The 14,304-nt window shown below is 34.7% G+C and overlaps 1 protein-coding gene across 10 annotated transcripts in view; it reads right to left on the bottom strand.

Moving 5' to 3' along the window:
• NECTIN3 (nectin cell adhesion molecule 3) overlaps window positions 1-14,304 on the bottom strand; it is a 122,355-nt gene that overhangs the window by 63,122 nt on the left and 44,929 nt on the right. For all 10 annotated transcript variants that reach the window (NM_001243288.2, XM_017006123.2, XM_017006126.2 and 7 more), the window contains 3 exons: window positions 12,097-12,393; window positions 8,811-8,928; window positions 4,714-4,865 (listed from right to left, as the gene is read on the bottom strand). In NM_001243288.2, the coding sequence (NP_001230217.1) occupies window positions 4,714-4,865; window positions 8,811-8,928; window positions 12,097-12,393 (567 nt within the window). The remainder of the gene's footprint in view (window positions 1-4,713; window positions 4,866-8,810; window positions 8,929-12,096; window positions 12,394-14,304) is intronic.

Below are 14,304 nucleotides of genomic sequence, written 5' to 3'. Positions count from 1 at the left end.
AAGGATTGCTAAGTAAGCAGATTCTTAAGTTTGAAACTACACTTGGATCCTAAAATCAATATGACCTGAAATTCAAGCTGTGCACAGGAATAAGAGTTTTAGACATAGGGGCACTTATTTGACATATCAAAATTTGCTTTTCTAAATTTAAAGATAAGAAACAGGTATTAGTTAAGGGAAAAATATACATCAAAAGCAAACCAGAAAAACACAATTTCCAGTAGTCAGTAAGTACTAGTCAAAGAGCTACTATACCTCTTGAGAGTATTACTATTATATAATAGAGTACAATTTAATAACTGAGGTTGAATATTGCAATCCTAAATCAAAAACCTGTTATCCAAAATCTTACATTTATCAATGTGGGAAAATGTGTAACAAAATTAAGAACAATTTCCCTCAGAGTTGCTTATTCTGTTCTGAGCAGAACTTTTCATCTCTAGTCCTAAGATGCATTTATTTTACATATATTAAAAATAATTTCTCAAATTTTTAAATATCTATTTTAATACTGAGGTAACATTTTTTTCCTAGAGGAAAATGAGTACATGTAACAATGAAAAAGATTAACTGGTCATTTATTTTGTGAATTATGGCTTCTCACTCTTGTAAAAGCCTACTAGGTTTTACTAAATAGTCATTCTGGAAAGGCAGCATTATACCTAGGATACCTGACATACTCCAAGCAGTTGTTAGATGAGTTAACTAATCTCAGGATAGTATGCTGTGTTACAGACTCTGGATAGAAAAGTAAAGTCTAACTACTGATTACCAAAAAAAAAAAAACATTCTCGGCTAGGTGCGGTGGCTCATGCCTGTAATCCCAGCACTCTGGAAGGCCGAGGCTGGTGGATCATGAGGTCAGGAGATCGAGACCATCCTGGCTAATATGGTGAAACCACATCTCTACTAAAAATACAAAAAATTAGCTGGGCGTAGTGGCGGCCACCTGTAGTCCCAGCTGCTTGGGAGGCTGAGGCAGGAGAGTGGCCGTGAACCCGGGAGGCGGAGCCTGCAGTGAGCCAAGATCGCTCCACTGCACTCAAGCCTGGGCGACAGAGCAAGACTCTGTCTCAAAAAAAAAAAAAAAAAAATTCTCTGCTGGGCGCAGTGGCTCACACCTGTAATCCTAGCACACTAGGAGCCTGAGGTGGGTGGATTGCCTGAGCTCAGGAGTTCAAGACCAGCCTGGGCAACACGGTGAAACCCTGTCTCTTCTAAAATACAAAAAAATTAGCTGAGCATGGCAGCGTGTGCCTGTAGTCTCAGCTACTTGGGAGGCTGAGGCAGGAGAACTGCTTGAATCCGGGAGGCAGAGGTTGCAGTGAGCCAAGATAGTGCCACTGTACTCCAGCCTGGGCGACAGAGCGAGACTGTCTCCAAAAAAAAAAAAAATTATCTCATATAACGCCACTTCTTCGAAAGTGCTGAAACTGATTTTGTTCATATTTACTCAAAATTTGATTTCCCTTTTTAAAGAGTTAAGTTACACAAAAGCAGATTCTGGATTTGTAAATTGATTCCTGATTGTTTTATTCTCAAATTTATTCATTCATGCAACAAAACTGTATTGAACGTCTATCATATGCTAAACATCATTGTAGATAATGGAAATATAGCAGTAATTAAAGCAGGCTTTATGTTTAGACTTACGTTCTGAGGGTAAAAACAGACAAGCATATAAAAACAAGAAAATATGTAAATATTTTACATATTTACATGGCAATACATGGGGTTACATGGCAATACGTGCTAAAGAGAAAAAGAAGGGGACCAATAGTAGCAAAGGGGTGAGAAGGGAGGGTATTTTATTTCAAATATAACCATGAAGGAAGACCTCATTGAAAAAGGTGAAGGTGAAGGCCTTAAGAAGTGAGGTAAAGAACTCTGATGATACCTGGTAAAAGCATTCCAGGCAGTGAAAACAGCAAATGCAAAAGACTCTGAGGTAGGAATGTGCCTGCTATGTTTGAAGAACAGCAAGGAGTCCAGTAGTGACTCAGCCAATGAGCAAAACATATAAGAAATGAAATTAGAGAGATCATCTGGAAGAAGGGCTCTGTAAGTCATTGTAAGGATTTGGTTTTCATTGTGGGTAAAATGGGAAGCCCATGGAAGGTTTTGAGGAGAGGAGTGACATGAGCTGACATGTCCTTTAAAAGAACTACCCTAGCTGCTCATTTGCTGACAAACTGAAGGGGGACACAGGCAAAGTAGGGAGATTAAATGGTTATTGTAATAGTGAAATAAGAGTGGCTTATGGCTTAGACTAGTGTAGTAGTAGTAGAAGAGTTGAAGAACTGTTAAGATTCTATATTTAACATAATGGAAGAGCTGGTATTGATTTGTTAATGAATTAACTAGGGTGTGAGAGAAAAAGCAAAATCAAGAATAACTATCAAGGGTTGTATCCTGAACAAATGTAAGGAAAGAAGTACCAGTAACTGAAAGAAGGAAGATGAGTACAGAAATATGTTTGGTATCAAGGAGCAATAGAAAGATCAAGACCTTGGTTTTGAATATGTTAAGTTGTAAATACCTATTAGACTACTACATAGAGTTAATGATCATTAATAGGCAATTGGACACACAAGTCAAGAGTACTGAACACTGCACTCAGAATGATAAAAGAGTATAAATTTAGGATATTATCAATTAAATCAGTACATACAAGAGTGTCCAAAATGAGCCTTGATATTTATTTTTTAATTTTTTTTTTTTTTTTGAGACAGAGTTTCGCTCTGTCATCCATGGCACGATCTGGGCTCACTGCAATCTCTGCCTCCCGGATTCAAGCGATTCTCCTGCCTTAGACTCCTGAGTGGCTGGGATCACAGGCGCATACCACCATGCCGGCTAATTTTTGTATTTTTAGTAGAGACAGGTTTTCACCATAGTGGCCAGGCTGATCTCAAGCTCCTGACCTCAGGTGATCCACCTACCTCGGCCTCCCAAAGTGCTGGGATTACAGGTGTGAGCCACCACGCCCAGTCAAGCCTTGATATTTAAATGATTACATAGACATATTGAGTCTAAGGTCTACAAGTAATATCCCACACCAAATTGTACAACAGAAACAAAATAAACAGTCCTTAAGTATATTTTAACTATGCATTTCCCTGGCTTATTCTCTAACTAAAGAGAGAGTAATATACTAATATGTAACCTCATTCAGATTTCCAGCCAGGCACAGTAGCTCACGCTTGTAATCCCAGCACTTTAGGAGGTTGAGGTGGGCAGATCACTTGAGCTCAGAAGTTCACGACCAGCCTGGACAACATAGAGAGACCACCCCTGTCTCTACAAAAAATACAAAAATTAGCTGGGCATGGTGGTGCATACCTGTAGTCTCAGCTACTGAAGGCTGAGGTGGGAGGATTGCTTGAGCCCGGGAGGCAGAGGTTGCAGTGAGCTGAAATCACACCACTGCACTCACTCCAGCCTGGGTGACACAGCGAGACCACGTCTCAAAAGAAAAAAAAATACAGATTTCCACCAAAGTACTGATACTGGCAGAAAGGGCTAGGGATGTATACAGCTCTAAGCTTCTTTCTAGACTCATGCAAAAAAAAAAAAAAAAAAAGAAAGTTTGCACCTCTATCATGTGCCAGGCACAATGCTCACTGCTGAGTATACAGTCGTGAATAAAGCAAGCACAAATTGCTGAATTGTGAAGATAAATAATAAGCAAAGAAATGAGCATACAACTAAAAACTGTGGTGAGTGCTCTAAGACAATATAATACGTGGTACTTTTCTTGGACTGATCACACAAGGACTGAGAATATAACACTTAAGCAAGCACAAAATTTCACCAAAACCTCTAATTTATCTAGTTTTAGATCTGAACAAAGATAAAACCCTTAACTATTTATTCCATAATTACCATACAAACCTGAGTTTCTTAGGTTCTCTTCCTTTTACCTCTTAATTTTCCATTTGTTAGACAGGAAGATTGCTACATTCTTGTAATCAGTAAGGAGATGCTCAAAATATTTTATTGAATTTTTATAAATAAGCATTCTATTGATAATTTATTACTTGCAGCCACAACCAGGAAAAGATGTATTTTTAGCTCTCTATTTTACGAATGCCAAAATTTATACTCAGCCAAATTAACAAAAATATTCAAAGTGAAACAGAATGTGAAAAATCTAAGCTATTAGTAGTTTAAAGACAATAAAAAACATCACAAATTTTATTTCATTAACACATTTTCAGTAGCATTCCTATTTCACCTCTCAGTAACACAATATGGTATAGTCCCATATTAAGTGGGAAACAACGCTATTTAACAAGCCATCAAATTTAATATTCCATTTTATTTACCAGACAACTGTGTACAAAGTGGCCATCAAAGCAAAAGAAAAAAATCACTATTTGTTCTTAGTGTAAAGATAAAAGAATCTAGAAAGTCATACTATGTATTAAAGAAATAGTACTGTTGAACTGAAAAATTAACTATATGTACAGGCATCAAAAAGTAAATAAACTTGTTGCACAGACACTTTGACATTTCAATAAAGGATGCCACATTACATACCTATCTCAGGATAGGATTATTTTATCATATTCCTTTTAGATTATTTGGAAAAACTTCACACTGAGGAATCTGTATCTTTACAAGTACAAATTATTGCTTAGGATCATATTGTTACTATGATTATTCAGAAATATTTTAAATAACTCATTTTGCAAGCAGATAGTAACTTACCTGAAATGTAGATGACTTTTTGGTCACTTCTTTGACCAAGGGAATTGGTCACTTTACAGATATAAACACCAGAATAATTGAAAGTCAATGGATGGACAAAATGAAGAGTATTGTCTGAAGCCAATAAACCATCAGGCCATTGTCCATCCAACCTAGATTTTAAAATGCATAAAATTATTTTAAATATCTTCAGACTATATTTATTGACAGCTAGTTAAAATGAGGCATTATATGTTTGAGATGTTAGTCAAAATAAAAAAGCATCTCAGACAAAATTCACTGAAAGTATAAAAAAAAAGTAACAAATTTTCATTTTAATAAAGATGAATGAATAAAGGCCATTAAGAACACCCATTCTTCCAAAATAGCAGTCCATGTAAGAGTGGCTCTGCCAACATAATAAAACGGGAGAAAAGCAGAGAAAAAATATAATTAAAAAAATTTTATTCAGAAAACTGGAAGTTAGAAAAATATATTATTTGAAGACATACATACAATATCAAATAAAATTCTCATTGAATCAGAGATCCATTCATGACATATCTACAATTTTCTTCATGCAAAGTCATCTCACTTAAATATGTAATGTTTTAGCACCCTCTATAACATATTTATAGAGCATCATTTAATGCTAATGCAAATAGACACTGTGCTCTATCCAAAGATAGTTTCTAAAACAGCAAAATGGGTCTTCCTATAAAATAATTTCACTTGTAAGGTGGGCATCTGTGACAATAAAAACCAAGACACCACTTGGTATCAATAATAACTCTTTAAAACAGTATTTACACTAATTTGGCTAAGAGGTCCTATACCTAGTATCCATATTACTCTAAACCATGTAGAGTCCCACTATGAGAATTCTAAAGTCATTCACTGTAACGGAACTAGGCACACTGCTAAAAATCACTTTTCTAACCTGAGGGTAACAAAAAAAACAACAAATAAGTGTTTTTAAAGCTTAAAGGTTTTTGTTTGTTTGTTTTTGGTTTTTTTAAAGAGGATAAGGCCGGGCACAGTGGCTCACACCTGTAATCCCAGCACTTTGGGAGGCCGAGGCGGGCACATCACTTGAGGTCAGGAGTCAGAGACCAGCCTGGCCACCATGGAGAAACCCTGTCTCTACTAAAAATACAAAAATTAGTTGGGCATGGTGGCGGGTGCCTGTAATCCCAGCTACTTGGGATGCTGAGGCAGGAGAATCACTTGAACCCAGGAAGGGGAGGTTGCAGTGAGACGAGATGGCACTACTGCACTCTAGCCTGGGTGACAGGGTGAGACTCTGTCTCAAAAAAAAAAAAAAAAAAAAAAAAGAAAGAAAAGAAGATTAAAAAGTCAAGTAAACCTAGGTGCTCAACTACTACAGTTTAGGCTAAGTAGATTTTCAAAAAGTTTATTCACTTATTCCTTCATTCAATTACTAGGAGCCCACTATTTGCCATACTCTGCTTTGCTGGTGGTGCTGAGATACAGAAGTAAATAAAATGTAGTCTCTATTTTCAATTATGTAAGTACATAGAAGATTGACAAATGATTACACAGGGAATAAGAACAAACAATAATAAAAAGGTGGAAAGAAGCAAATCAACACTGAAGAACAGATAGAATAATTTTGTTTTGCGATCTCAAGTGTAGTGAGTGGTAAAATAATCTGTAAAATCTTTTAGAGTTGGTAGTACTTCAATTCAGCACTGAAGGATAAAGATAATATGCTTACATGGTTTAAAAAACGAAAACAAAAGCACCTAACCTTTTTCTTTAGAAGGCTTTGGAAAGAAAATTTTTGCAAGTATCGGCTTTCAAAAGATAAACTTTCTACAAGGATAACAATGAAAATAAACTATATATGTCTTAACAATTACCTTTGTACTTTGGGCTCAAAGTTTTAATCCCTTTAATTCTCTGAGAAATTGTAAAATGACTTAGAAATATCTAAATATCACATTAAACCTACAACAAAAGCATCTTCTATGCCCTTGTGTCTATGTTACATGACTTATATTCATTGTCTGTACCTCACAAAAACTCTATGAAGTACTGTTACTGGCAAGGAAATTTAGGATTAGAGGGGTTAAATGATTTACTCAAAAAAGACATATAGAAGTTTAGACATTGGGATGAGAATCCAGAGTTGTATGGCTTTTAGAAACACTCTATCAAATAAAAATCTTAACTAATGACTGCTTCCCATTTAAAAAAAATGTAAATGAAAAAGGTTTTCTCTACCTTTAAAATAGTATCCAGGCTTAAAGACAACTGATTGACCAGATATAGTGCTTCCTAACTCCCATAAAATCCCACCAGGAAGAGTACAGAAATTAAAAAGTTATTAAAAACCCTAGAGGAGAAAACAGGAGGCAGAATTCAACAGACAAGATGTTTCAACACACTTTTAGAAGACAGAAAATAGATTTAAAAAACAATATATGCCTTAGGTCAGTGTTTCTCAACCCAGGGATGCTTCAAAACATCTTACAATTCACAGGACTGCACACTACAAAAACTAATTATCGGCCTAAAATATCAATAGTGCCAAAGTTGAAAAGTTGTACTTCAGGGTGAAGGGTTGCTTATGAAAAACACATGGATGAGAAAGCAGCCAATTTGGTCCAAAGAATCCAAAAAAAAATTTGGAGTTCAACTCACTGTACCTCAGAAAACTAGAAGGAGGCCAAGAGCAAGTTAAAAGATACACAACAGAACAACAGATTCCTCCCAACTCTGTACAAATACCAGACATTCATCTCTGGGGCAAAAAAATGCAGGTTAATTCTAGAAATAAACTGGCCACGAAATAAAGACTTCCACTCTTCTATTAGTGGTATCTGGAGCCTCTCCAGGAAAATAATCACATCTCTACCTGATTACTCTAAGTGGAATCTAATGAGCAATCCCCACTGCAGAGAAAGCATCCACTAAGCATTTTATTTAATGCTTCACTGTGAAAGACTAAACAACCAACAAGATTAAGAAATATCTACATAATGAAAGACCAAACCAAAAAATAAAAGAACTTGGAGGGAAAAGAGATAGTATGTAGAAAGCAGAAAAAAACTATCTGGGGAAGAAATAATTCTAGTATCCCTGGGAAGAAACAAGAAAGATACTACACTCATAAAATAAGAAAAGCGTGCTATGAAAATAACATATTTTTATTGTTGGCCTATTTTCAGTTTATAAGAGCATCTTCTCATTCTCTAATGAATATTCAATGAGAAGATGCTCCGTCTTATGAGAAGACGCTCTTAAAAACTGAAAACAGGCCAAAAAAAATTTATATCATTAAGTCAATGGAAAATTTAAAAAAAAATCAAGAAAATCTTCTAGGAAGAATAAGACCATCTGAAAATATAAAAGAAAGGATATTTATTATACAATAAACAGGAGTTCCAAAAAGAGTGAACAGGAATAAAAAAGAGGGAAATGACCAAAAAATAAGAAAATTATTCAAGTTGATAGATACATCTGGAGATCAAAATAGGCCCTAAATACTGACAAAATATGAATAAAAACCTTGGTATAACAGTTTGAAATTTCAGAGAAAGAAAATTATGCACGTAGTAACTACACAAGTAAAAAGAGGCAAATATTAGCCATTAGGAAAACAAATGGCTATAGACAAGAGAAAACAGAAGTCTGGTATACTACTACTTAGCTCTTAGTAACATTTACCTGTCCTAGAGAAGCAAACAGTGATTACTGAGTTTAATTTAAAATAGCTAAAATTTCGTTTGGACTATGAAAGGTAGGAATGTGTGTATATGGGTGTGTTTGTAAATGAAGGAGTAGACATAAAATTATAATTATTTATCTAAGAAGTCAATTGACAATGTTAAAAACTATTAAGTAGTAGCAGCTTAAGACCTCTGACTGTAACTAACCGTAAGAAACTGCTAAAATTGCTAAAGTAGCCTCTAAAGATCAGAACTGAGGGGGTAGGAAGGTGGGGACAGGTGGGGAAGGATAAGACAGAAAATTTAATTAAAATTTTCTGCTATTACTATAATCATGTATTATACAGATAAAAACAATTTAGAATGGGGATTTAAGAAGGTTTCACTTTTAGATAATTTCTCTTTCGAAGTATATAACATTACCTGCTCCACACAGATTTGAAGGGTGGTGGATTTGCATCAGCATTACATTTGAGATTAACACCTTTTCTTCCTACAAACCAATTTCCATCATATCCTGTTACCGAAACTTCAGGAGCATCTATAAAATAAATGCATGACAGGACAGATTACCTTTTGTTAATGATAAATGCAATATACATGATAAAATATTAAGATAATAGACAAAGCCTTAGAATAACAGGAACCATTTTTCCTTAGTCTCAACATGTATAATCAATACAGAAGACACTACTCCACAAGTATTGGCTGACTGAAAGAATAAAATGGAGAATGAGTACCCCCCAAACAGGCAATTCTACTACATACAGTTTGAGTAATTAGAAATGCTGAATGTTAAGGAATATTCATAAACCTATAATCACCAAAAGCAAAATGTAAGAATCCTATTATGCGAGATGTAGAGATACAGGAACAAAGCAAATACATTATAGTATTTAATTAAATAAGACATGGTATTTAAGTACCATGTAGTACCAAGTCACCATATAAAACAGTCTTTAATGAGATATTTAATCTAAAAGGAAATATCTTCTAAGAGGTATCAGGTCAATTACAGTGACTAGATTCCCTATGTTACAATTAATTAATATATTGGGGGCATGTAGAGATGTGACACAGGCTTTCCATGACTACATACTTAAAACTGAAGTAAATTAGCTAGGGCTTCAAATGTACTAAAACATGAATTTTCATCCATTCCATGTACCCAAAAGTCTTTTAGCATATGTGCAACACAACTAGTTGAATGAGCAATTATCCATATCTACCAGCAATATAAATATATACTTCCAAACTACTAAGTCCAATAACTATCATTCATTCAACCATCACTCTGTTTAGCTCCTAATAAGTGCCAGGCATGGCACTTAGAAATAATACACTGTTTTGGCCCAGCGCGGGGGCTCACGCCTGTAATCCCAGCACTTTGGGAAGCTGAGGCGGGAGGATCATGAGGTCAGGAGATTGAGACCATCCTGGCTAACACAGTGAAACCCCATCTCTACTAAAAAATACAAAAAAAAAAAAAAAATTAGCCAGGCGTGATGGCGGGTGCCTGTAGTCCCAGCCACTCGGGAGGCTGAGGCAGGAGAATGGCACGAACCCGGGAGGCGGAGCTTGCAGTGAGCCTAGTTCGCGCCACTGCACTCCAGCCTGGGCGACAGAGTGAGACTCCATCTCAAAAAAAAAAAAAAAAAAAGAAAGAAATAATACACTGTTTTAGGTGTTTGGTATACACACAGACTTTATATACATAAAATTTATATTCTAATAGTAATAGGGAAGATGACATTTAAAAATACTTAACTAAAACTCCTTATGAGGGCCAAGAAGAAAAAGAGTAGGATGCTGAGAGAATATAAAAAGAAAGGCCTAATTTAAGTTGGGCATGGGGCTGGAGGTGATAAAAGGCTTCCCCAATGAAGTGCTAGTTATGTATGATGCAGAGACTCTCTAGCTTTCTGTGAGCTACATAGAAAACTAAGTTAGCAGCACATGATCTGATGAGAAACTAGAGAGAGAGACCAGATCAGTCTTTACCTCTGCCAGGGAAGACTGTCCTACTGGAAAGCAAAATTTACAAAATAGTGGTAAAAAATTGAACTTTTGATAAGGTACTATTATCTCAGAAATTAAAAAAAAACAAAGATTAACAAATATTTTTGTAACTTAAAAGTGGTACTAAAAAATGTTGCTGAAAGAACAGTCCAGATACCTGTGAGTTTAGGCATAAAAGTATCCCAAGAGGATATCTCTAAATATTGAGGTATAAATTTGTGCTATAAGACAATATTTAAGTTTGTTTACATGTCTTATAGGTCTCCAATTTACAAAAGGAAAAATGTCATGACTATTCTAAGAACATTTTAGGAGTAAGCCAACAAATCAATACCATATTATAAACACTTACATTAGAAGAAATATATCTAAGATTTCATTCAAGCAAACAAAAAAAAACAAATTGAAAATATCAGTCATTATTAGACACTGGAAAGGTAAACATATATGGATATGCAAAATACATTAACTTCCAATTGGGATCTGAATTTTATGAGAAAAAGAAAAAAGTTAACACTCTGTAAAAGCAAGGTAGGAAAAGGAAAAAGAAAAATTTTAACACGATTCTCCAGAGAATTGAGAAAAGATGGTATTAGCATTTAAGAATGCAATGGTAGTAACATTTTTTAAACTATAGCTTTTCAAGTTAACCCTATAAAGGTTGAAAAAGATCCTGGGAATTAGCTTTAAAAATGATTACACCAAGTGTAATGAATATGTGTAATTTAAAACTCCATGCATGTCATATCAAAAAGCAAGTAAGTAGCAACAACAAAGAATAGAACTCCCTCAAAAACACCTAGATTTATAATTTGCACATGGATAGAAGTAAAAGCAGAACCTACTTTTCTAATGTTCCTAATTTTCATTATCTTTGCTATAAGCTATCTGCAGCCATCACCTTTTTTACTACCTGAAATTTTTAAATGGTATACAAATCACAAAGAATGTATTAAACACTAAGAAACTTTTCAAACTAATTAATATGCATATAGGAAAGACAAAGAAAATAAGGCCACATGCAGTGGCTCATGCCTGTAATCCCAGCACTTTGGGAGACCAAGGCGGGAGGATCACAAGGTCAGGAGATGGAGACCATCCTGGCCAACATGGTGAAACCCCATCTGTACTAAAAATACAAAAATTAGCAGGGCGTGGTGGTGCACGCTTGTAATCCCAGCTACTTGGGAGGCTGAGGCAGGAGAATCACTTGAACCCGGGAGGCGGAAGTTGCAGTGAGCAGAGATGACGCCACTACACTCCAGCCTGGCGGCAGTCCAGCCTGGCGGCAGAGCAAGATTCCATCTCAAAAACACCAACAACAAGGAAACAAGATGGTGAGCATTGGTGAAACTGAATAACAGCTCAATTAATTAGAATGTAGAAGTTGTTTGCCCTTTAGCATTGTACATTTTGAGGGACAAGTTGCCATAACTCCCTAAGTCCAGCCTACTTTTAAGATCTTAAAAGGAAATGGTTATATAATTTTAAGTTGGAGAGCAACTTTAAAGTCATCTGTCCATCTTTACAAAAGTGATTAAAAATGTTCTGGTTAAATGAAATTTCCATGAAAACAAACAAAATTAAAAGAAAAACAAAAACAAGGAAAAGCTATTAAATATTCAAACTAAAAATAGTTTGATAAACATGCTGACAAATATTTAAAAAGTAAATGTTACCATTTACTTACACTGTATGTCTAATATGAAAGAGTATCGGATGTCCTTTTCCAAGGCTGGATGTTTTACAACACAAGTAATTCGCCTTCCTCTAGCAAATCTGGTTGGAAATAGCTTGTACTGGCTGATAATCGTTGCCGTTTCATTTGGAAAAGAAGTTGTAGTGGATTCCATTTCACCAAGATCACCTTCCCAGTCAATATGTGCAACGGGTTTTCCAGTGGCTGCGATGCAAATGGCTGCTACTGTTTCATTTCCTCCATCAATTAAAGAATCTGGCCCTTTTATCAGGCTCACAGTGGGTTCAACTGTTTAAATATTTTTTTAATAATTAGTTACATTCAAACAAGAATATGTTTATATCTTTCCAAGTCACATCTAAACATATTTCACAAGCTTAAGGACAACTGCATATAAAAATCTACACACACTTTTTAGGTAATGCCATCGTCAATTACATTCTTGGAAAAACAAAAGATCATAAACTAGGACAAATGAGACCAGGAATTCATACCACCACTACAAAGATGGCTCTACCTGATAAAGATATACATTCCTTTAGGGAACGATGAATTCCTTCCAACTTAATATATAAAAAAAATTTCTGTGAACGAGATCACAATTCCCTTTATGAGATTAAAGGTATTACTTCTCTGGAAGATAAGTTTTATATATGTATAATATATATATATATATATATATATATATATATATAGCTTCATTTTACAGTAAAAAAATTTTAAAGCAAATACTTTTAAAAATAAGTTATGATTATGACTTACTGTTAAAATGTTAAGAAATAAAAAAAGTTCTTCTGAGCATACCTATTGGAGATGAAATGTTTTTCTTGGCCCAGTAAGTGACTCAATAATTTCATTTAAAACACTGCCTTTTGAACTTTCAACCTTTAACTACTCATATACCCAAAAGAACCAATTAGGGCTGCTGAATGTGTTCAATTACTTTTATTTACAAAATATACTTTAAGCTCATCCTAACGTACCATCACTAATAGTTAAGTTTACTGGAATGTACATACCACCTATTTTCTTCCAATATAAGAAAGTTCCTCAGCAGGGTAAAGTAACAATGTTAGAACCTCTCAATCTACTCTGCCCCCAATATCTCTTAGCTATCTTTTCACATTTTCCAGCAATTGTTAGGTGCTTCTGTGTAATTCCTCAGTACTGACTTCATAAATTTTGTGTTCAGTCTTTAGTTTACTCTGTGCATTGAGTTTTTATTTCAATGATTTTTTTTTTCATTTCCAGGACTTCAAGTTGGTTCTTTTAATACCATCTGTTCTTGATGGTATTGAAAGAACCAATTTTTGTTTCATATTTTACTTTGAAACCTATTTTTATTTCACATTTTACTCTCATGGATATGATTATTTTCCTTATGTAGTTCCTTTCATAAGATGCATTACTGTAAAATAACAAATGAAAAAGTACATGCAACACACGCAATGAACAATTTTACAGCAAACATCCATATAACCACCACACATCTTAACAAACATTATTACTGGAACCTCACAAGTCCCTCATATTCCTCTACTACATCTTAAAAACCTGCCTACCTCAATGTGAAACTATTATATTGACTTTGGAGATCAATGGTTTGTTTTTCATTATAGTTCTACAACCAACACATGCAAATCTAAACAACACAGTTTAGCCTGTTTCTGAACTTTCTAAGAATGGAATTGGACCATACGTATTTTTGTACTTTTTCTTTGACTCAACTTTGTGTTCTGGAGATTCATTCATATTGGAACATTTAGCTTTAGCTTATTGTTTTTGGAATTCATTTTTTTACTTTTTTATTTTTAGATCATTTGGATTTACATACAATTGTATATATTATTAGTTTTAATTGCTTTATAGTTTACTAATGGACAATGGAGTTCCTGTTTCATCTGAACAATTTTACAAGAAACATTTCCATTCATGTATCTTAGCATATTTGTGCACAAGTATATCCCTAGAATTGCTACTACTTATTTTCAACTTTATCAGATAATTTCAAAAACCTTTCCACAGTACCAATTTACTCCCAATCTTAGAGCTCCTGCTGGTCCATATACTCACCAGCTGATATTGTCACCCAGCTGATATTATCACAGACTTCTCAATGTTTGCAATCTGATAGGTATGTAATGGTATACCACTGAGATTTTATTTTTAATATCTCAGATTATGAATAAGGTTGAAGAT

Source organism: Homo sapiens, chromosome 3, assembly GCF_000001405.40.
Source record: "Homo sapiens chromosome 3, GRCh38.p14 Primary Assembly".
Lineage (NCBI taxonomy): Eukaryota > Metazoa > Chordata > Mammalia > Primates > Hominidae > Homo > Homo sapiens.
This window is presented reverse-complemented; position numbering and strand designations above follow the sequence as displayed.